The 18129-nt window shown below is 49.5% G+C and overlaps 2 protein-coding genes and 1 long non-coding RNA gene across 11 annotated transcripts in view, besides 10 other annotated features; 2 read left to right on the forward strand and 1 right to left on the reverse strand.

The window, feature by feature from the left end:
• Window positions 1-6698, forward strand: part of CCDC134 (coiled-coil domain containing 134) — a 31486-nt gene extending 24788 nt beyond the window's left edge. For all 3 annotated transcript variants that reach the window (NM_001382346.1, NM_024821.5, NM_001304797.2), the window contains one exon: window positions 232-6698. In NM_001382346.1, coding sequence (NP_001369275.1) covers window positions 232-357 — 126 coding nt within the window. In that variant the 3' untranslated portion in view covers window positions 358-6698. The remainder of the gene's footprint in view (window positions 1-231) is intronic.
• Window positions 663-1169: an enhancer, noted in NCBI's record as "H3K27ac-H3K4me1 hESC enhancer chr22:42222133-42222639 (GRCh37/hg19 assembly coordinates)". NCBI's record gives its function as "activates a minimal SCP1, AML or CMV promoter by ChIP-STARR-seq in primed H9 embryonic stem cells {active_cell/tissue: H9 hESC(primed)}" and the evidence as "EXISTENCE:reporter gene assay evidence [ECO:0000049][PMID:30033119]".
• Window positions 2015-9199, reverse strand: SREBF2-AS1 (SREBF2 antisense RNA 1). The gene is made up of 2 exons (NR_157279.2): window positions 8977-9199; window positions 2015-8514 (listed from the first exon to the last, which is right to left on the reverse strand). It is a non-coding gene; the product is annotated as an SREBF2 antisense RNA 1 (long non-coding RNA).
• Window positions 5086-5626: an enhancer, noted in NCBI's record as "H3K27ac-H3K4me1 hESC enhancer chr22:42226556-42227096 (GRCh37/hg19 assembly coordinates)". NCBI's record gives its function as "activates a minimal SCP1, AML or CMV promoter by ChIP-STARR-seq in primed H9 embryonic stem cells {active_cell/tissue: H9 hESC(primed)}" and the evidence as "EXISTENCE:reporter gene assay evidence [ECO:0000049][PMID:30033119]".
• Window positions 5627-6166: an enhancer, noted in NCBI's record as "H3K27ac-H3K4me1 hESC enhancer chr22:42227097-42227636 (GRCh37/hg19 assembly coordinates)". NCBI's record gives its function as "activates a minimal SCP1, AML or CMV promoter by ChIP-STARR-seq in primed H9 embryonic stem cells {active_cell/tissue: H9 hESC(primed)}" and the evidence as "EXISTENCE:reporter gene assay evidence [ECO:0000049][PMID:30033119]".
• Window positions 6993-7502: an enhancer, noted in NCBI's record as "active region_19137". NCBI's record gives its function as "activates an Ori minimal core promoter by ATAC-STARR-seq in GM12878 lymphoblastoid cells {active_cell/tissue: GM12878}" and the evidence as "EXISTENCE:reporter gene assay evidence [ECO:0000049][PMID:35858748]".
• Window positions 6993-7882: a biological region, named in NCBI's record as "NANOG-H3K27ac-H3K4me1 hESC enhancer GRCh37_chr22:42228578-42229234".
• Window positions 7108-7764: an enhancer, noted in NCBI's record as "NANOG-H3K27ac-H3K4me1 hESC enhancer chr22:42228578-42229234 (GRCh37/hg19 assembly coordinates)". NCBI's record gives its function as "activates a minimal SCP1, AML or CMV promoter by ChIP-STARR-seq in naive H9 embryonic stem cells {active_cell/tissue: H9 hESC(naive)}" and the evidence as "EXISTENCE:reporter gene assay evidence [ECO:0000049][PMID:30033119]".
• Window positions 7543-7882: a silencer, noted in NCBI's record as "silent region_13799". NCBI's record gives its function as "represses an Ori minimal core promoter by ATAC-STARR-seq in GM12878 lymphoblastoid cells {active_cell/tissue: GM12878}" and the evidence as "EXISTENCE:reporter gene assay evidence [ECO:0000049][PMID:35858748]".
• The window catches only part of SREBF2 (sterol regulatory element binding transcription factor 2), a 74201-nt gene continuing 63710 nt past the window's right edge, over window positions 7639-18129 (forward strand). For all 7 annotated transcript variants that reach the window (NR_103834.2, XR_001755276.3, XR_001755277.3 and 4 more), the window contains exon 1: window positions 7639-7892. Coding sequence is in view for 4 of the 7 variants with exons in the window: in NM_004599.4 (NP_004590.2) it covers window positions 7805-7892 (88 nt within the window). In the remaining 3 variants the exon portion in view is untranslated. The remainder of the gene's footprint in view (window positions 7893-18129) is intronic.
• Window positions 7943-8332: a silencer, noted in NCBI's record as "silent region_13800". NCBI's record gives its function as "represses an Ori minimal core promoter by ATAC-STARR-seq in GM12878 lymphoblastoid cells {active_cell/tissue: GM12878}" and the evidence as "EXISTENCE:reporter gene assay evidence [ECO:0000049][PMID:35858748]".
• Window positions 9555-10056: an enhancer, noted in NCBI's record as "H3K4me1 hESC enhancer chr22:42231025-42231526 (GRCh37/hg19 assembly coordinates)". NCBI's record gives its function as "activates a minimal SCP1, AML or CMV promoter by ChIP-STARR-seq in primed H9 embryonic stem cells {active_cell/tissue: H9 hESC(primed)}" and the evidence as "EXISTENCE:reporter gene assay evidence [ECO:0000049][PMID:30033119]".
• Window positions 10057-10556: an enhancer, noted in NCBI's record as "H3K4me1 hESC enhancer chr22:42231527-42232026 (GRCh37/hg19 assembly coordinates)". NCBI's record gives its function as "activates a minimal SCP1, AML or CMV promoter by ChIP-STARR-seq in primed H9 embryonic stem cells {active_cell/tissue: H9 hESC(primed)}" and the evidence as "EXISTENCE:reporter gene assay evidence [ECO:0000049][PMID:30033119]".

Here is an 18129-nt window from a genome sequence, read left to right on the forward strand (position 1 = left end):
TCCCTCCACCTAGAATACCCTTCCCTTTCCTCATGCCGTTGGTTTGGCAAACTCCTGCTTATCTTCCAACACCCACTCAGCAGTTCTCCCAAACCCATTTCCTGTCTCCGTGTCTGGGGCAGGGCCTGTGTCCAGGGAACCTTCCTATTCCCACACCCCGCTGGTGGCCTAGCTCAGAGCAGGCTCTTTGCTGCCACAGACTAAATCAGACTGCTCTTCTCTTCCCTTCAGTTCATTCCCAGCACTGACCCTTTCCAGAAGGCCCTGAGAGAAGAAGAGAAACGCCGAAAGAAAGAGGAGAAGCGGAAGGAGATCCGAAAAGGCCCAAGGATCTCCAGATCCCAGTCTGAGTTATAGCCCTGGAGCAGCTCAGGGCTCAGGGGGCCACAAGGAGGCAGGTCGGGAGGAAGAAGAGGTGGAGGTGTGGTTGTGGTGGAGAGCACCAGCTAGCCCCTTCCAGAAGGGGAGGCCACATTTGCCCGGCCCCCTGGAGCTGGGTCTGAGCCCCAGCTGAAGGGACTGAGCCTCAGATGGCTGGATTTTCTCTCAGGGGCCTCCTGCTGAAGGGGCCTTCAGAGGATTTTATGCTGGAAATATGACCCTGTGCAGACTGCTGGGGGAGGCAGGAGGATGCCTGCCTGGACCCTGTTGGTGGCTGAAGACCTCTGGCCAGCTGGCTTCCGCCCTTGGTGGGGAAGCAGCAGAACTAGGTTCTGAGCCACGGGTCAGGGTGCCACCCTGCTGCTGGCCCCACTGTGTCACAGAGCTGCCTGGCACAGGTCCCAGCCCCTCTGCAGAGACACAATAAAAGCCAGCAGACCCTTTGGACCGACCAAGGCTGGTGGGGACACTGTGAGGGGACCAGGGCCCCTCAGGGATGTAGAAACAGCTTGGAGGATGCCTCTGCCCCACCAGGAGGGGCCCCAGGCCCTGGCAGGGCAGAGAAGGAAGGGGCTTGGCTTGGGCCTCCTGGTCCTACGCCATCACTGCCCTTGACAAATGATTGGTGTTGGGAAAGGACCTGGAAGTGCCCTGGGACCTGGGAAACATTTAGCTCAAGAAGACCTTGGAGCAACATGATCCCTGTCCTCAGATGTCTGGGGACAGTCATTGAGCAAGCACAGGGAAGTCAGCTTGTTCTCTCTGGCAGCGCTGGAAGACAGTCAACCTGTGGGTGGGGGGCTGCAGGGGGACAGGCCGCAGCCCTGCAGGAGGCCGTGCTCCGCAATGGCTGCCCTAAGCTGCATGGGTCAGACAGCTTCCCGTCTCGGGAGGCCACAGGGCAGGGAAGCTGCAGAGGGCATGTGGCCCTGGGTAGGGCAGCTGCCCTTCACTCATGCCCCTCCCAAGCAGAGGAGGGAAGGGCTTTAGTGAGAATTCTAGCTCTGCCTCTTTGACCTTGCCAAGTCAGGATCTGCCTCTTAAAGGAGCAGAGAAAACCATCCCAGATCCCCTCGACACCCAGCCCCCTACCACTGACAGAGCACAAGTGAGATCTGAGTGTTAGCCCTTCAGATTTGCTGACTGGCCTTGGCCCACCCCTCCCTGTGCTGCAGCTTCATTGGCAAAATGAATTTGATGGTATCTGTATCCCCTGCCCAGCCCTAACCTGTTTCTCTGAGGCTGGCCTCCCTACGGGGCTGCAGCAGCAAAGGGAAGCCAAGCCTTAGAGAAGCCTCATGGAAGGGCCCAGAACATCCTGCACCCATCAGTTACTCGGAAGTAAGGGGACAAGAAGCAGCTGGAAGAGAGCTGGGTGTGGGGGCTGGGAGGAGTGCTGGAGAAATTTCCCCATCAGAAGGCCCCTCACTGGGCAGTGGAGGCAGGGCAGTGTGGTGGGACTGACTCAACAGACATAGTTTCATCTCCACCCTGCCCTTCTCAGGTTGTGTGACCCCAGCCACATGGACACCCGAGTCTGTGAACTAAAGGGCTGGTCCATGGCATTAACAGTGGAGGGTGTCCAGGTTCTTGATGTCTTGAACAAAGAATTGGGCAAAATGCACAAAGCAAGGAAGGAATGAAGGGTTTTACTGAGAATGAAAGTATACTCCACAGCATGGGAGAGGGCCTGAGCATAGGGACTCAAGGGGCCCGTTACAGAATTTTTGGGAGTAAATACCCACTAGAGGATTCCATTGGTTACTTGAGGTACACCCTATGTAAATGGAAAGGATGAAGTAAATTTACAAATTCATTTACAGCATATACCCTATGGGGAGGATATTCCCTGTTATAGCTGAAGCGTGAATTGGCCTTATGTTCCCTGCCTCCAGACCCTATTTTCCTGCATCAACGGGAAAGGGTCAGATTCACTGGCTCAGCTGTTTAACCTGTCCTGGTGCCAGCAGCTGGAGCTGGGTGTCAGGACCAGCCCGCAAGCTCTTCCCTGCCGGAAGGACCAGGCCAGTCGCTGTCCTTTTCATGCTAGAGAGTGGTTGTGGTTGCTGACTTAGCAGAGAAGGTGCTTGGCTTTCCCCTTAACTGGAGAAAAAACTTTCTAAGAACCAGGCCTGGTTGGCAGCAGACCTAGCTTTCTTGGGGTGGCAGGGAGGCTAAAGCATACCTCAGGACAGTCAGTGGTGGGTCCAGCTTCGGCTGGAGGTTCTTTCTACTGAATAACTTCTACGGGCTCTGTCATTAGCAGGATTTGTATAATTTGAAGCAGAGCTGGGCAACTGCAGAGCAATGGGGAAGCCAGCCCAGTGTGGTGGCAAGACCTGGGCAACTTGGGACCAGCCTGGGCTGTCTCTTGCCAGCTGTTGTTATCAGAACCAGGCTCTTCACACTCAGATCCTTGGGCCCCCCATCTCAGAATGCCCAGTGGTTGAAAGGATGAAACCTGGAATTTAAGTGACTTCTCAGTGATGTGTGCCCTTCTCTGACGGTTCCTTGTTCATCCCATGTATTTACTGACTGCCTGCTATATATGCAGAGCCAAAGAGTGGGGCCTGGTCTTGAACTATCTCCTCATCTGCCCCTTCTGGCACCTCCTTCCTCCTGGGCTCTTTCCTCTAATACCGTCATCCTCTCTCCAACCTGGTTAATCCTGTCCTTTCTGCCCTCAAATGGGCACCTTCAAAGAAACAAATAGAACTACTCCACTCGCTCCCTCTCTCCCTCCCTTTACTGCCACTATTGATTGTTATAGTCACTTGCTCCAGGAAGTCCACTTGCTGAGTCTTACTGCAGACAGAGCCCACCCCCTGAGCTGTAAAGGCCCTAGGGCACATGTTTGTCCAGCTGCCTCTTGCAGCTGGGATTGTTAGGTCACTATAGCGCTACCAACTGCATATACCACTGTGGGAGTCGTGCTGGTGGCGGTAGTGGTCACAGGTACCAGGGGCAGCAGTGAAGGGGTGGCTCTAATGCCAAGTCCAGTGACCAGTGCCAGGGTGCCCAGTGGTGGCAACAGTGGTGTTTTCAGTGTGATCTTGGACATTGCTCCTGTCTACTCAGCTGCTAGTCTGTGAGCTCCCTGATATCCTTTAAGACAGCGTTTTCCAGCAGCGGCACTATTAACGTTTGGGGCTAGGTAATCGTTGGGTGTGTGAGTGTGAAGAGGGCTGTCCTGTGTGTTGTAGGCTATTTTAGCAGCATCCCGGCCTCTCCCTGCCAGGTGCCTGTAGCAGTCCCCCAGTTACGACAACCAAAAATGTGTCCAGACATTGCCAGATGTCCACTGGGAGGGAAAACCTCTCTGGTCCACAGCCCTTCTCCTTATTCCAGTCCCACATCTTCCTCCCCTTCCCCATCACTGTCCTCAGAGAGATGCTGTTGACAGCTCCTTGAGGTGATTCTCTCAGGCTTGTTGTTGTAGTTCTCTGCTGTCAAGTCTGAGCTGACTCTCTCTTCCGGATTCTTCTTTCCTCACCTGCCCCCGTTTGCATGAAGTTTTTTATGGAGCTGTTTCTATTTTCTTTTTGGGCAGCCATACTCTCTAAGACCTAAAAGCTGAATACTCGCCCGGTTACTACCTGATAATTCTCATCGCTTATGTTTCCAAAACCAAACTGGTTATTTCCCTCTCTAACCCCATCTCTGTGTCAAACAGTGGAGTACATGCTTTTGGTTAATCCAATTGGAAGGCTTCCTAGAGGAAGTAATATCTGAACTGAATCCTGAAAGATTAGGGGAAGAGGAAGAAAAGGACAGGTGCTGTGGGAAAAAGGGGAAAGTGTCAGAGGAAGTAAATGAAAAACCATATACAAAATTATCTTCTGTGACCCGTAGCACATGCCCAATCCATGGTAGATATCGAAACATAGTGGTTACCCAGTCTAATCCATCCCTTTTCTTTCTTTCTTTCTTTTTTTTCTTTTTTTTTGAGACAAGTCTCACTTTGTTGCCTGCCTGGAGTGCAGTGGTGCGATCTCGGCTCACTGCAACCCCCGCCTCCCGGGTTCAAGTGATTCTTCTGCCTCAGCCTCCTGAGTAGCTAGGACTACAGGTGCTTGCCACCATGACCAGCTAATTTTTGTATTTTCAGTAGAGATGGGTTTCACCATATTGGCCAGGATGGTCTCGATCTCTTGACTTCGTGATCTGCCTGCCTCGGCCTCCTAAAGTGCTGGGATTACAGGCGTAAGCAACCGTGCCCGGCTGTCCATCTCTTTTCAGATGAAGAGCTCAGGTTCTGAGGAGTGACTTGTCAAAAGCTGTTCTACCTCTCAGAGCCAGCCCTTGTCCTCCTGCTAGCCAGAGCAAGGTACCACCTGGAAGAGATGTTCAGTTACATGGGATCCAGGGCCAGAGGGAAAATATCAGTGCTTCCTGAGGTTCGGGTCCAGCCACCCTTCTTCCACCATTTCTACTGAGCCTTCAGTTGTACCCCTTCAGTCCACTTGGCGAGGCATCACGCCCTCTGGGCAGGCTCAGTGGGGAACTATGGGAGCAGGTGCTGTGTGCCACCTCTGGAGGGGGTCACTGAGGTTCTGGGTTGTGGGGGGTGCCCTGGGCCAGAGTGAGTTGTATGGGAGTTGTTGCTGAATCCCCCCAGAGTACCAGTCACACACCAGTGTGAGGGGCCTTGCAAGAGCCACTGGGCAGCACAGTTGAAGGTGGCACCTTCCTGCTCAGTGCTGTGTCCAGAGCAGGGTTTAGTTTTCTGTGTCTTTCAGGGTGAGACTGGTGTATTCTATACCAGCCTCCCTGTGTGTGAACAATGACGAGAACAATGTTGTCTTGCTTTCCCAAAAAATAAGACACTATCTATTTCTCATTAGTTATACACGTTCATTATAAAACGTAATTTAAGCAATACTGAAATGCCAAAAAGAAAGTAAAATTCACTCCAAAAGTAAAATTCACCCCAAATCTCACTACTCCTGTAACTATGTCTGACAGCCAGCTGTTGGGTCTTCCATCGTTTTTAACCTTCAGGTGAGCACACAGATCCTTATTTTTTCTTTTCTTTTCTTTTTTTTTTTTTTTTTTTTTTGAGACGCAGTCTCCTGTTGCCCAGGCTGGAGTGCAATGGCGCGATCTCTGCTCACCGTAACTTCTGCCTCCCGGGTTCAAGCAAGTCTCCTGCCTCAGCTTCCTGAGTAGCTGGGATTACAGGCATGCACCATCACGCCTGGCTAATTTTTGTATTTTTAGTAGAGACGGGGTTTCACCAAGCTGGCCAAGCTGGTCTCGAACTCCCGACCTCAGGCAATCCGCCCACCTCAGCCTCCCAAAGTGCTGGGATTACAGGCGTGAGCCACCTTGCCCGGACTCTCTTTGTATTTTTTCTTTCTTTTTTTTGAGACAGAGTCTTGCTCTGTCTCCCAGGCTGGAGTGCAGCGACATGATCTCAGCTCACTGCAGCCTCTATCTCCCAGGTTCCGGCAGTTCTCCTACCGGTTAGCTGGGATTACAGGCATGCGCCACCACACCCGGCTAATTTTTGTATTTTTAGTAGAGACGGGGTTTCACCATGTTGGTCAGGCTGGTCTCCAACTCCTGACCTCAAATGATCTGCACACCTCGGCCTCCTAAAGTGCTGGAATTACCGGTGTGAGCCACCGCGCCTGGCCAGATCCTTATTTTTTCAATTGCAATACAGCAGTATGCAAGGCACTTACTGTATGCCAAAGCTTATGCCGAGAGCTGGCTGCCAGCAGCTCCTCCTGCCTCGAGGCCTTTGTCCATGTCATCATTTCCCCTTTGGCTGTAACAGCTGCAGTTCTCTCATAATTTTAGGTTTCATCTTAAATGTCACTTCTTCAGAGGCTTCTTGACAGCACAAGTCAGGGCCCTTGTTAGTTTCATCACATCCATTACCTTTCCTTGATCACTTGTACCATCATCTGTAATTTATTTTTATGTTTAATACGGGTGTGGGATTTCTGATTTTTTTTTTTGCTAGACTGGAAGCTCTCAGAGGGCAGGAACCATTTGTTTCCCTGCCACAGAGATGTTCAATAAATATTGTCAATTGAATGTGCAAATAATCTCACTTAACCACAGCTATGAGGGATGCTATTTTATCCCCATTTTAGAGATGACTAAACTGAGGCTTAGAACAATTAACCCAAGGTCACAGTGAATTAGTGGATCCATGTGTCTGCCTCCACACAGCCTGTGTGTTCTTAATTATTGATCACTAAGCAACAGCTGCCTCTCACAAACTGGCAGGAAACTTCAACTTTTCCCTTTTATCAATATATTGTGAACGCCTTTTCTTGCTAATAAATATACATTTGTGTGCGTAATTTTTAATGATCCCATGGTATTCCATCGTGTGGATGTAATTTACATATTCATTTCCTTATTCTCACTTCTTCCTAGTTACAGCACTTCTTTAAGCACTTGTAATTTTTATTCCTTTGGATAAATTCCTAGAAGTTTACAACACGACCAGCTGCAAGATGGGGCAGTGAGGTGCTTGAAGGAGTGGGTGGGCTGCACTTCAGAATCCCGGTGGAACTTTTTCAAAAAACTCGTGCCCGGGGCCCCCCTCTCAGGAGGCCGTCGGTGGGCCTGGGCACTGGCGTGGTTTTCAGGTCCTCAGTGGTTCCGAGGTGCCAGAGATTGAGGACCACTGGAGTAAGCGCGAGGTCACGGCGGGTGCAAAGCAGAAGACGTAAAATCCTGACCGCCCTGGGACAATCTGCAACCTTGTCAAGCCTCCGTGCCCGCCTTTGTAAGGAGGCTGGGAGAAGCGGGACTTGGATGACCCGGACTCCCGTCCCGAGCGCTGGGGTCCAGGTTTGACTCCGCTGGCTTTCTCAGGCGGGCAGGGCGGGGGTAGGCAGCTGGGAAGATGACGTAATGTGCTCCCAGCCAGGCCTGGAGGCGGCCAGCGGTCGCAGGTGGAGGGTGGCCTGTTAACCCTTCACTCCCAGGCCAGTGGACGGACTTGCGTGTGGCGCAGATCCAACGGAGAAGGCAGCGGCTCCTTTAAACAAGGCGGAGAAGGTTAAGATGATGACCGGACGGCTACTCCAGGCATTCGCTCCGAGGCCGCGGGGGGAGGGACCTCACTATGCAAATCTGAGCTGCTGATCGATGACGCGCCATCACCCCACGCACCGCTTCGCTCGCCCATTGGCTGAGATGAGCCTGGTCCCATTGACAACAAACAGGGGGGCGCGCGGCCTGGAGGCGGGGCCGCAGGGGGCGCGGGCTGGGGCGGGGGAATCCCGCCCCGCCCTTTCTGTGCGGCGCCCGGGCGCAACGCAAACATGGCGGCGGGTGGCACCCGTCGGTGAGGCGGTGCCGGGCGGGGGTTGTCGGGTGTCATGGGCGGTGGCGACGGCACCGCCCCCGCGTCTCCCTGAGCGGGACGGCAGGGGGGGCTTCTGCGCTGAGCCGGGCGATGGACGACAGCGGCGAGCTGGGTGGTCTGGAGACCATGGAGACCCTCACGGAGCTGGGCGACGAGCTGACCCTGGGAGACATCGACGGTGAGTGGTGGGTGGGTGGGAGTGCGGGGGCCGCGCGGGGAGGAAGGGGTTACGGCGGCGCGCCCGGGTGCGCGTGCGCCCACCCCCCGACAGCCCCGGTTCGCGCGGGAAGAACCCCGTGCGCACGGTGCCCCCGGCGGTCCTCAACCCTTCCGGCGCTGCGAGCGTGAGCCCGACCCAGCTGCGCCGCTCCGGGAGGCCGTGGGATCTGGGGCGCCGCGGGGCCGAAAGCGGCGCGAGGGTCGCGGGTTCCAGAGCGCGGGGCTAGGGACGTCGCGGGGGCGTCTCAGGGAGCGGCCTAAGGAGAGCGCGTGGCCGCCGCCTCCCTCGCGCGCCCACACGCGGTTTCCGTGGTCCGCTCTCCCGCCGCCCGCGACCGCGCGTCGCACCTGTCACTCCCTTCCTGGCCGCGGGGACGTCTTTGGGATTCCCGGGGCCCAGCCCCCAGTCTCCGCGCCCCGAATCCCTGGGCTTCTCAGGATTGACCGACGGCCAGGTCGCCGGGTGCTCCGCGAAACTTTGGGCAGCGACTGCAGAAGCAAGTTGCTGATGAAGAGAGCAGTGGCGGCGGAGTGTGGACACATCTCTCCGGGATGGAGACCCGGGCGCTCCTGCTGTCACGCTGCAAGGGGAATTGAGCAGAAGAAATTTTGAGTTGTGGCCCCTCGGGTACGGGCTGGGGAGCGGGTGGCCTTTGTTCCAGCGCCTTAACAGCGGAGTGGAAGAGCTGGTAGGAGCCCAGGGATCCACTCTTAAAATACTAATTTTGCGACCACGGGAACAACGATTTGGAGAGGGTCAGCGGCTTGCTCAAGGTCACCCAGCTGGTTAGAGCCTAGTTCTTGCAGTTCCTTGGCCAGTATTGGTTTTTTTATACCCCTCCTTTCAAGAAAGAGTCCAGTTGACTAGGCTAGTAATCTTATTAACTGGATAGTTGCACTCTTATGTTTAGGCCCCAAAATGCTTTGTATTATTTCACTTCTTCCTCACAACAATCCTGTGAGATACTCTTATTACCTCTATTTTAATACGGTAATTAAAGAAGCCGAGGCCAGGAGATGTTGACTTATCTAAGGCCACTCACCTTAGAGAGCTTAGGCAGAAACACAGGTGCATTGTACTTTTCAGTTTTCAGAATGCTTTCATGTCCAGGATCTCACTACAGCCTTGCAGGCATGTATGATGGCTACATCCCCGTTGTGCAGATGAAGAAGCAGAAGCAGCAGAAGATTCTCTTTTGGGGGAAGAGATAAATGCAGCAGCTAATTGAAAAGGATCTGTTTGCCATTTTCCCATTTTGCTTTTGTAATATTTCTCCCCTTGGTTTGTCCTTGATTTCCATTTTGGTCATGTGGGCAGTGTGATAAGACCCTTAATTGAAGCCCCAGTTCTAACCACAGACTCTTTGCTAAGTGCTTCTAAATACAGAAATGGGTTAACAAATGGGGGATGGGGTAGGTGGGGGTTGGGAACATAGCAAGGGCAGCTAACATGTTTTGAGAACTTCTGTGCCAGACGGTGTTAAACAGTTATACACGTTAATGTTCTCAATCTTCCTAACAACCCTGTCAGGTAGAGAGAACTGTTATACTTGTCATCTCCCTCTCACTGATCCTGAAAGTGAGGCCCAGGGTGGTTCATTAATTTACTGAAGATTACACAGCCAGTAGAAAGTACTGTATGTCTATAGCTGCCTACCTGCAAGGGCACAGAAAGAAATTCATGTGCATTTTGCATTCCTATTCCATGATCAATTCCTATTTGTCTTATTTTGTTTATCTGATTTTTAAATTTAAATTTTTATTTATTTAGTTATTTTTTGAGACAGGGTCTCATTCTGTCACCCAGGCTGGAATGCAGTGGCACAATCATAGCACAAACTCTTAGGCTCAAATGATCCTCCTGCCTTGGCCTCCCAAAGTGCTAGGATTACAGGTGTGAGCCACCTAAATTTTTTTTTTTTTTTTTTGAGATGGAGTTTCGCTATTGTTGCCCAGGCTGGAGTGCAATGGCGCGATCTCGGCTCACCGCAACCTCCACCTCCCGAGTTCAGGCGATTCTCCTGTCTCAGCCTCCCGAGTAGCTGGGATTACAGGCATGCGCCACCACGCCCGGCTAATTTTGTATTTTTAGTAGAGACAGGGTTTCTCCATGTTGGTCGGGCTGGTCTCCAACTCCCAACCTCAGGTGATCCGCCCACCTTGGCCTCCTAAAGTGCTGAGATTACAGGCATGAGCCACTGTACCTGGCCGAGCCACCGTGCCTGGCCGAGCCACCTAATTTTTTTTAGAGACAGTGTCTGGCTGTTGCCCAGGCTGGAGTGCAGTGGCACAATCATAGCTCACTGCAGCCTTGAACTCTTGGGCTTAAGCAATCCTCCCAGCTCAGCTTCCCGAGTAGTTAGGACTAAGGCATGTGCCACCACACCTAGCTAATTTATATATATATGGTAGAGCCAGTCTCACTGTGTTGCCCAGGCTAGTCTTCAACTTCCAGGCACATGCAGTCCTCCTGTCTTGGCCTCCCAAAGTGCTGGGATTACTGGCATGAGCCACTGTACCCGACCCTGTCTTAATTTGTAATGAGTTTAAATTACCTAGTGGTTAATACTGTCTTTATCCCCACAGATTTCTGAATAAAATGGAAACTACCACCCTCTGGAAACTACCACAGTGGTTCAGTGGCTTCATAGGTCCATTAGGTTTGATCCCAGTGGAAGAAGATTCCATTTCTCTGTCCTTCCAGAAGACCTGGTTTATAACAGTGCATAAGGCTTTTTCTCAAAATAGTTATATACCGCACAAGGAAGAGGTGTGGCTGTTGTGTCACAGGAGACCTAGGGGCCAGGTTTGGGAAAAGTGGTTCCATGTCTTCAGTTGATCAACAAGTATTCAAGTGCTGGCTGTGGTTTCTGAGCTGTAAGGAATCGTGAAAGATAGCATAGAATTTTATGGCTTCATGGAGCTTGAGATGAGAAACTCTAGTGCCAGTATGGAACAGCTTAAAATTGCACAGCACAACAAGTAAAAGTCAGCAGTGAGGGTAGCTTGGTAAAGGCTGGCTTAGCAGGAAGACCACACCAAAGAGGTGGCTCTTGACCTGGGCCTTGGAGGACAAAAAGAGTTGGGCATGCTGAAGGTCAGTGGTCTGAAGATAAAATTATCCCTTGATTCTCACCCCTGTGTTCCCATTACTGAATGTTAGCTCCTTGAGGCAGAGACCTTCGTTTCATTCCCACTAAATTCTTTGAACCTAGAACAGTGCCTGGCACAGTGAGAGTGCCCATTAAATATTTGTGGAATGCCTGAGTGATCCAGTGATCTTGGGCTGGGCAGGATACTAATTGTCTTGGACATGGTTTGGAGTTGGATTAGATCAAGGAAATAGCCAGCCTGGATGCTTCTAGGAGCCGGTCAGGTGAGGAAGGGGAGAGGCAGGCAGGGTGAGTACATTTACTTCCTTTGTATGTGTATGGTGGGGATAAGGGGTGGATGCAACCTAGAGAGCCTCCAGGAGGTGCAGGCAGGCAAGGATCCATTCATTCCACAATGTCTGCTGTGTTCCAGTCCATTGGTACCCTTCAAGGATATGGGCTCAGGGAGGCCACATTCATTTACTCATTGAATGGCTTCTAAGTATTCATGATGGACAAAGGATAACTTGAGCGCGACAGATCATGTGTCTTCTCTCTCACGAAGCTTACATTCTTGATGGAGGAAATACAAGTTGAGTAAAATAAATGAACAGTTTAGGCAGGGCACTGTGAGCAAAATAAAATTGGGCCATATTATAGAGTGTGACTGGGCTAGCCTACTTAGATTCGGAAGTCCAGGGAGGCTTCTTGGAAGAGAGGTATCAGTGTCTGTTTTTCAAGAGATGCCGAAGTCTGGATTTTTATTTGAAATACCCAGATTTTTGGCCGGGCACAGTGGCTCATGCCTGTAATCCCAGCACTTTGGGAGGCCGAGGTGGGCGGATCACCTGAGGTCAGGAGTTCAAGACCAGCCTAGCCAATATGGTGAAACCCCATCTCTACTAAAAATACAAAAATTAGCCGGGCATGGTGGTACACGCCTATAGTCCCAGCAACCCAGGAGGCAGAGACAGGAGAATCACTTGAACCTGGGAGGCAGAGGTTGCAGTAAGCTGAGATCATGCCACTGCACTCCAGCCTAGGCAACAGAATGAGACTCTGTCTAAAAAAAAAAAAAAAAAAAATGCTGGACACGGTGGCTCACACCTATAATCCCAGCACTTTGGGAGGCCGAGGCGGGTGGATCACCTGAGGTTGGGAGTTTGAGACCAGCCTGACCAACATGGAGAAACCCCGTCTCTACTAAAAATACAAAATTAGCCGGGCGTCGTGGCACATGCCTGTAATCCCAGCTACTCAGGAGGCTAAGGCAGGAGAATTGCTTGAACCCGGGAGGCAGAGGTTGCAGTGAGCCGAGATCGCGCCATTGCACTCCAGCCTGGGCAACAAGAGCAAGACTCTGTCTCAAAAAAAAAAAAAAAAAGAAAGAAAGAAAGAAATACCCAGATTTTTATATGTTGGCTCATTTAAAAAAAAAGTACTATAGGCACCCAATAAAGCATGTGTGCTAGTTGATCTCTGGGGTCTTGTACTACTGCAGAACGTCCTGTTGTCCCAGGCCCCCAGGTTTCCCATAATAGAGTAAGTCTACCATTTCATTTTGTGTTATATATCTCTATTTTGAGAAAGGGCCTCATGTGCCATTACACACCAGGTCTTCTGGAAGGGCAGCAAGGTGGGATCCTCTTCCACTGGGATCAGGAAAGAAACAGTCATGGAGGTGACCTTTTTGCTGGGTCCAAATAGATGGGTGGCAGGAGCAGCCTGACAAGTATGTGGGAGGAGTTAGAACAAGCTGCCTTTGGAAATGAAAGTTTACTAGAGATTTCTTGGAATATAGTGTGTGTGAGGAAACAGTAGAAGATGAGGTCTGAGAGGTGAGGTGGAGCTAAATTGTACTGTAGATGCAAGGTGTTTTATGGAAGATAGGGAATTGTTGAAGATTTTCAAGTAGGGGGTGACATATTAATCATGGGTTTTTAAGAAAATTGAATTGTGGGCTGGGCTCAGTGGCTCATGCCTGTAATCCTAGCATTTTGGTAGGCCGAGGAGGGTGGATCACCCGAGGTCAGGAGTTCGAGACCAGCTTGGCCAACATGGTGAAACCCCATTTCTACTAAAGATGCAAAAATTAGCCGGGCATGATGGTGGGCACCTGTAACCCCAGCTACCTGGGAAGCTGAGGCAGGAGAATCGCTTGAACCTGGGAGGCGGAGGTTGCAGTGAACCCAGATTGTGCCACTGTACTCCAGCCTAGGTGACAGAGCAAGACCTTGTCTCAAAAAAATAAAAGAGAAAGAAAAGAAAATTGAACGGTGGTGATAGGCAAGGAAGATTGGAGGCAGGGAGGCCAATTAGGAAACTGTAGCCATCCAGGTGTGAGGTGATGAAGGGTGACAAATTTGGATGGGAAGTGGCCCTCATTCAAATACCTTTCCATGGCACTGACTTGGGCCTCTGCTTGCTTCTCCCTGCAGAAACCCAGTTTGACAGAGTACCCTGCAGTACCTGGCACTGACTAGGTGTTCTGTAAAGGTGTGTCTGATGAGGAAAGGAAAGCACCTCAAGTTCAGTCTGAGTGTTCACACCATTGGGAAGGTTGGAGTGGCCAACTGGGTGAGCAAGGAGTGAGTGTTGGGGATGTGACAGGACATGTCCTCACTGAAGGCTTGTCCCTGAAGGCAGAGCAGAGGGAGAATTCTAAGATCCCATTAAGACTTTGAGCCTGGAGCACTGGGGGAGTTAGGAGTCAGCAGAAAGAGCTGGTTAGGGGAAATGATGAAAATTTATCTTAATTGTGCTGAAATTGGGGTGCCTGGGGGTCATCCATTAGGAAATGAGATGTAGATACTTAGGAGAAGGTAAAACTGGGATGGAGATTGAAGAGAGTCACTGCTGAGTCAAGAGGAGAGAACTGGGAGATTAGAGGTTAGGAAAGTGTTAGCTTTTCAAGGAGTAGTCTGTAGATGGTGGAGACAATGCCACAGAGAACAACAAGGATGACAAGGCCATGCAAGGAGTCGTGGGACTTGGTATTAGGAGGCCAAACCTTGCCAGAACAGTCAGATGAGGGAATCCAAGGCAGAAAGGAAGCAGGGGTGAGTGGGAGATGGGCAGGTGGAAGCAAGTAGTTCTCTTTGGAGAAAGTAGAATAATTTTTTCAATGAGCTGATCTACTTTCTGTCTTGATGAGTTTGCCTGTTCTGGACAACTCATAAATGGAATCAGACAGGTAGCATAATATTGCTTAGGTTCATCATGTTGCAGTGTAGTGTTCCATTGCATGGACACACCGCATTCTGTTTTATCTACTCTTCAGTTGGTGGACATTTGGGCCGTTTCCACTCTGGCTACATTATGAATGAAGCTGCTACAAACTTGTGTACAAGTTGCTGTGTGGACATATATGTTCATTTCTCTTGGGTAGATCTTCTACATTTTTTGTTGTTTATGTTTTCCAAGAGCTTATAATAAATAGTCCCATTTATTCACATGCTTAGTTTCTTTTTTTTTTTTTTTTTTTTTGAGACGGAGTCTCACTCTGTCGCCCAGGCTGAAGTGCAGTGGCGCGGTCTCAGCTCACTGCAGCCTCTGCCTCCTGGGTTCAGGCAGTTCTCTGCCTCAGCCTCCCAAGTAGCTGGGATTATAGGCACCCACCTCCACACCCAGCTAATTTTTTGTATTTTTAGTAGAGACGGGGTTTCACCATCTTGGCCAGGCTGGTCTTGAACTCCTGTCCTTGTGATCCACCCGACTCGGTCTCCCAAAGTGCTGGGATTACAGACGTGAGCCACCGCGCCCGGCCCACATGCTTAGTTTCTATGTTCCTGTAACTAATTTGCCCTAAATCTTGTGACAGAAACTTGCAATGTGGTGGTCAGTTCCTTTCTTTCCTGTCCCATCTGATGGCTATGGTTTAGGTCTGCTCTCCCTTCACTTATCTTGGGACAACCCCTAACCATCACCCTTGGGGGCAATGTTGAAGCTCTTCTTTCCCAGTTCTTGATTTTTACTCACTTATTTTAGTGGAGCACATCCTCCAGTGGCTTCCTGAGAAAGAGTACATTTAGGTAACTCTTCGAGGCCTTGCCTGTCTAAAAACATCTTTCTACCAACCTCATTCCACTTTGGTAGTTTGGCTGAGTTTAGAATTTTAGGTTGGACAGAGTTTTATGTCAGAATTTTGAAGGCATTGTCTGATTATCTTCTTGCTTCTAGTAGAGAAATCTGATGCCATTTCCATTCTTGATCCTTTGTGTGACCTGTTTTCTTCTCTGGAAGCTTTTGGGATCCTGTCTTTATGTTCTGAATTCCATGACAACGTGCCTTGATGTGACTGGGCCGACAGTCACTGTCCCAACTTGTTGGGGCTCTGGAGAGCTGTGTCTGATACCTGAATTCATGCAGTCCCCCTGCCATCAGCCTCCTTGTCACCTGAGCCTGCAGAGGAACTTCCAGTACCTGAGCCTTTCCATGGCACTGATTTGGGCCTCTGCTTGCTTCTCTCTGCAGACACCCAGTTTCATCTTTGGCAGAGTATCCTGCATGCAGTACCTGGCACTGAATAGGCACTCTGTAAAGGTGTGTCTAATGAGGGAAGGAAAGCACCTCAAGTTCAGTCTGGGTGTTCACACCATTGGGAAAGTTGGAGTGGCCAACTGGCTGAGCTAGGAGTGAGTGTTGGGGATGGTTGTGGTCAGCACACCCCTAGGAGGTGGAGGTGGGAGAAGAGTGGAAACTGACTTCACATTTCTCCAGGGAGGGATGCTTTGGAAAAACTGCTCAGTGAGATGAAGCACAGATCTGCTTTTCATCCCTTTTGTACCTTTTTAAAGACATAAGGTATGTTTTGACACTGGAGTATATATGAGGGTTGCTAACGTTTGGGTTGAAAGAGCTGCTGTTGTCCACAGCTTATTTATTTTCCACCCATTTTTGTCTCCTGGTCTCATCCAGTTACATTTCCTGGGATATGTTTTTGGAGGTTGCTCAGATCACGGCACTAGAGTCCCTTTGGGTTTCTCCTCCCTCCTCTGTCTATTTGGCCTCGCCCTTGACAAACATTCCCCACATTCACACCCAGGCCTTTGGCCTAATGTTCTTGAATGCTGCTTGCCTCTCATTGAATAGGCTTTTATGTAGCTCTCATATTCAGTTCATATTTTGGCATTTTAAAAAATATATATTTTTGCTTCTTTCTCAACTAGATCATTTCACTCCTCAAATTTGTAATTAAAAAAAGGAAATTCTCAAGCAGTTTTATTCAATTAGAACTTTGCAAATATCAAATTGTCCGTATCCTTCTGGATTCTCGTCTGAACATTGCTTATCTGCGTACATATCACAGTGTTTTCACATAGGGATTGCTGTATGTTGAAGTAGTTGAGGTGTAATAGCCATATAATCTAATGTGATCCATCTGAATAGGCAAACCCTTGCACACCTGTGTACCTGTTGAACATTTTCATCATTTGCAGTTTTTTCTTAACATAAGCACTGTTCTGAATACTTGTGAACAAGTCACTTGGGAGTTTGTTCATGGGCGTGTATCTTCCAAAGAGGAGTCTTCAAGTTCAGCTGGGTAACACACTATCAGCTGTAGCCCTTTCATTTTAAAAACATTTCCAGTGCTGCAAATTACTATGGTGATTGGGAATTACAACTTGGAAATATTTTTATTTTTTTAAAAGATAGTACATTCATATGAATCAAAATAAAATACATAAAAAGGTACTATGAAAAGTCTTGCTCCCGGCCCTACCCACTATCTGCGTAGTCCCACCGCTCCCTCACAAGTAATTAAATTTTTAGTTTCTTTTACCTGCTTCAAAATGTATTTGTTATTACAAAAGAAGCTAATAACAAATATTGATTTTAGTTTTTGCTTTGCTTTCCTTTTTGACTGAAAAAGTTAGCATGCTATAAGCCCTGTTCTTCTGTGCCTTGCCTTTTCCTTTCTGCTTACCAATGTATCTTATAGATCATCCCAGACTTTTTCACTGCTGCATGGTTTTCCATTTGATGATGCCCTGTAATTTATTCATCCAGTCCTTTTTTGATGGACATCTGAAGGTATTTTCAGTCTTCTGCTATTAAAAACAATGCTGCGAATAGCTTTGTAAATTCTTCCTTTCACACATGTGCAAGTCTAGAGGCAGGAGCGGTTACCAGAAGTGGGATTGTTGGATCAAAGCCAGGGTGGTGCTGTCTCCGACATAGTTGTCGCAAGAATCCAGTTAGGTAAAACATAAGAGGGGCTGGTCACAGTGGCTCATGCCTATAATCCCAGCACTTGGGGAGGCCGAGCCGGGTGAATCATGGGGTCAGGAGATCAAGACCATCCTGGCTAACATGGTGAAACCCTGTCTCGACTAAAAAATACAAAAAATTAGCCGGGCGTGGTGGCATGAGCCTGTAATCCCAGCTACGTGGGAGGCTGAGGCAGGAGAATCGCTTGAATCCAGGAGGTGGAGGTTGCAGTGAGCTGAAATCGCACCACTGTATTCTAGCTGGGACACCAGAGCGAGACGTCCGTCTCAAAAAAAAAAAAAAGATTATAATGGAGCTATTGCCATACCATCTAGGTGTGTGTAAGTATACTCTGTGATGTTTGCACAATGAAGCAGTTGCCTAATGACACATTTCTCAGAATGAATCCTGTTGTCAAGTGACACATGACTTTATTTGATAATGAATACAAGACCATTTCATCTTGATCCCAGATAGATACATTGAGATGCATTGATGTTCTCTAAGTGAACGTGACTCATCCTGTTCTTTATTAGTTATTGACTGTTTCCGTAGTCACCTCTACTTTTTGATCGTTCACCAGGTTTTGAAATCACTGTGTAGGCAGCACCCACTATGCAGTTCAAAACTTTATGTAGGCCTGTTTTGTACTGGGCTCCAGGTTCAGTGCTGGCAAATAAACAAGTTCCTTGTTCTCACAGAATGTGTATGGCCTTGGGTGCCAGGCACCGTTCCATGCCTTAACCTACATTCGTCTCATAATACGTTTTTGCATGCAATCTTTTCTTCAATTCTGTGGTATGCTGCAGGTGAAGAAACTGAGGCATAGATCACGTAGCTTGTAAGTGATGGAACAGTGGCCTAAATCCAACATGTGCAACTTTAGAACCCATG

Source organism: Homo sapiens, chromosome 22, assembly GCF_000001405.40.
Source record: "Homo sapiens chromosome 22, GRCh38.p14 Primary Assembly".
Lineage (NCBI taxonomy): Eukaryota > Metazoa > Chordata > Mammalia > Primates > Hominidae > Homo > Homo sapiens.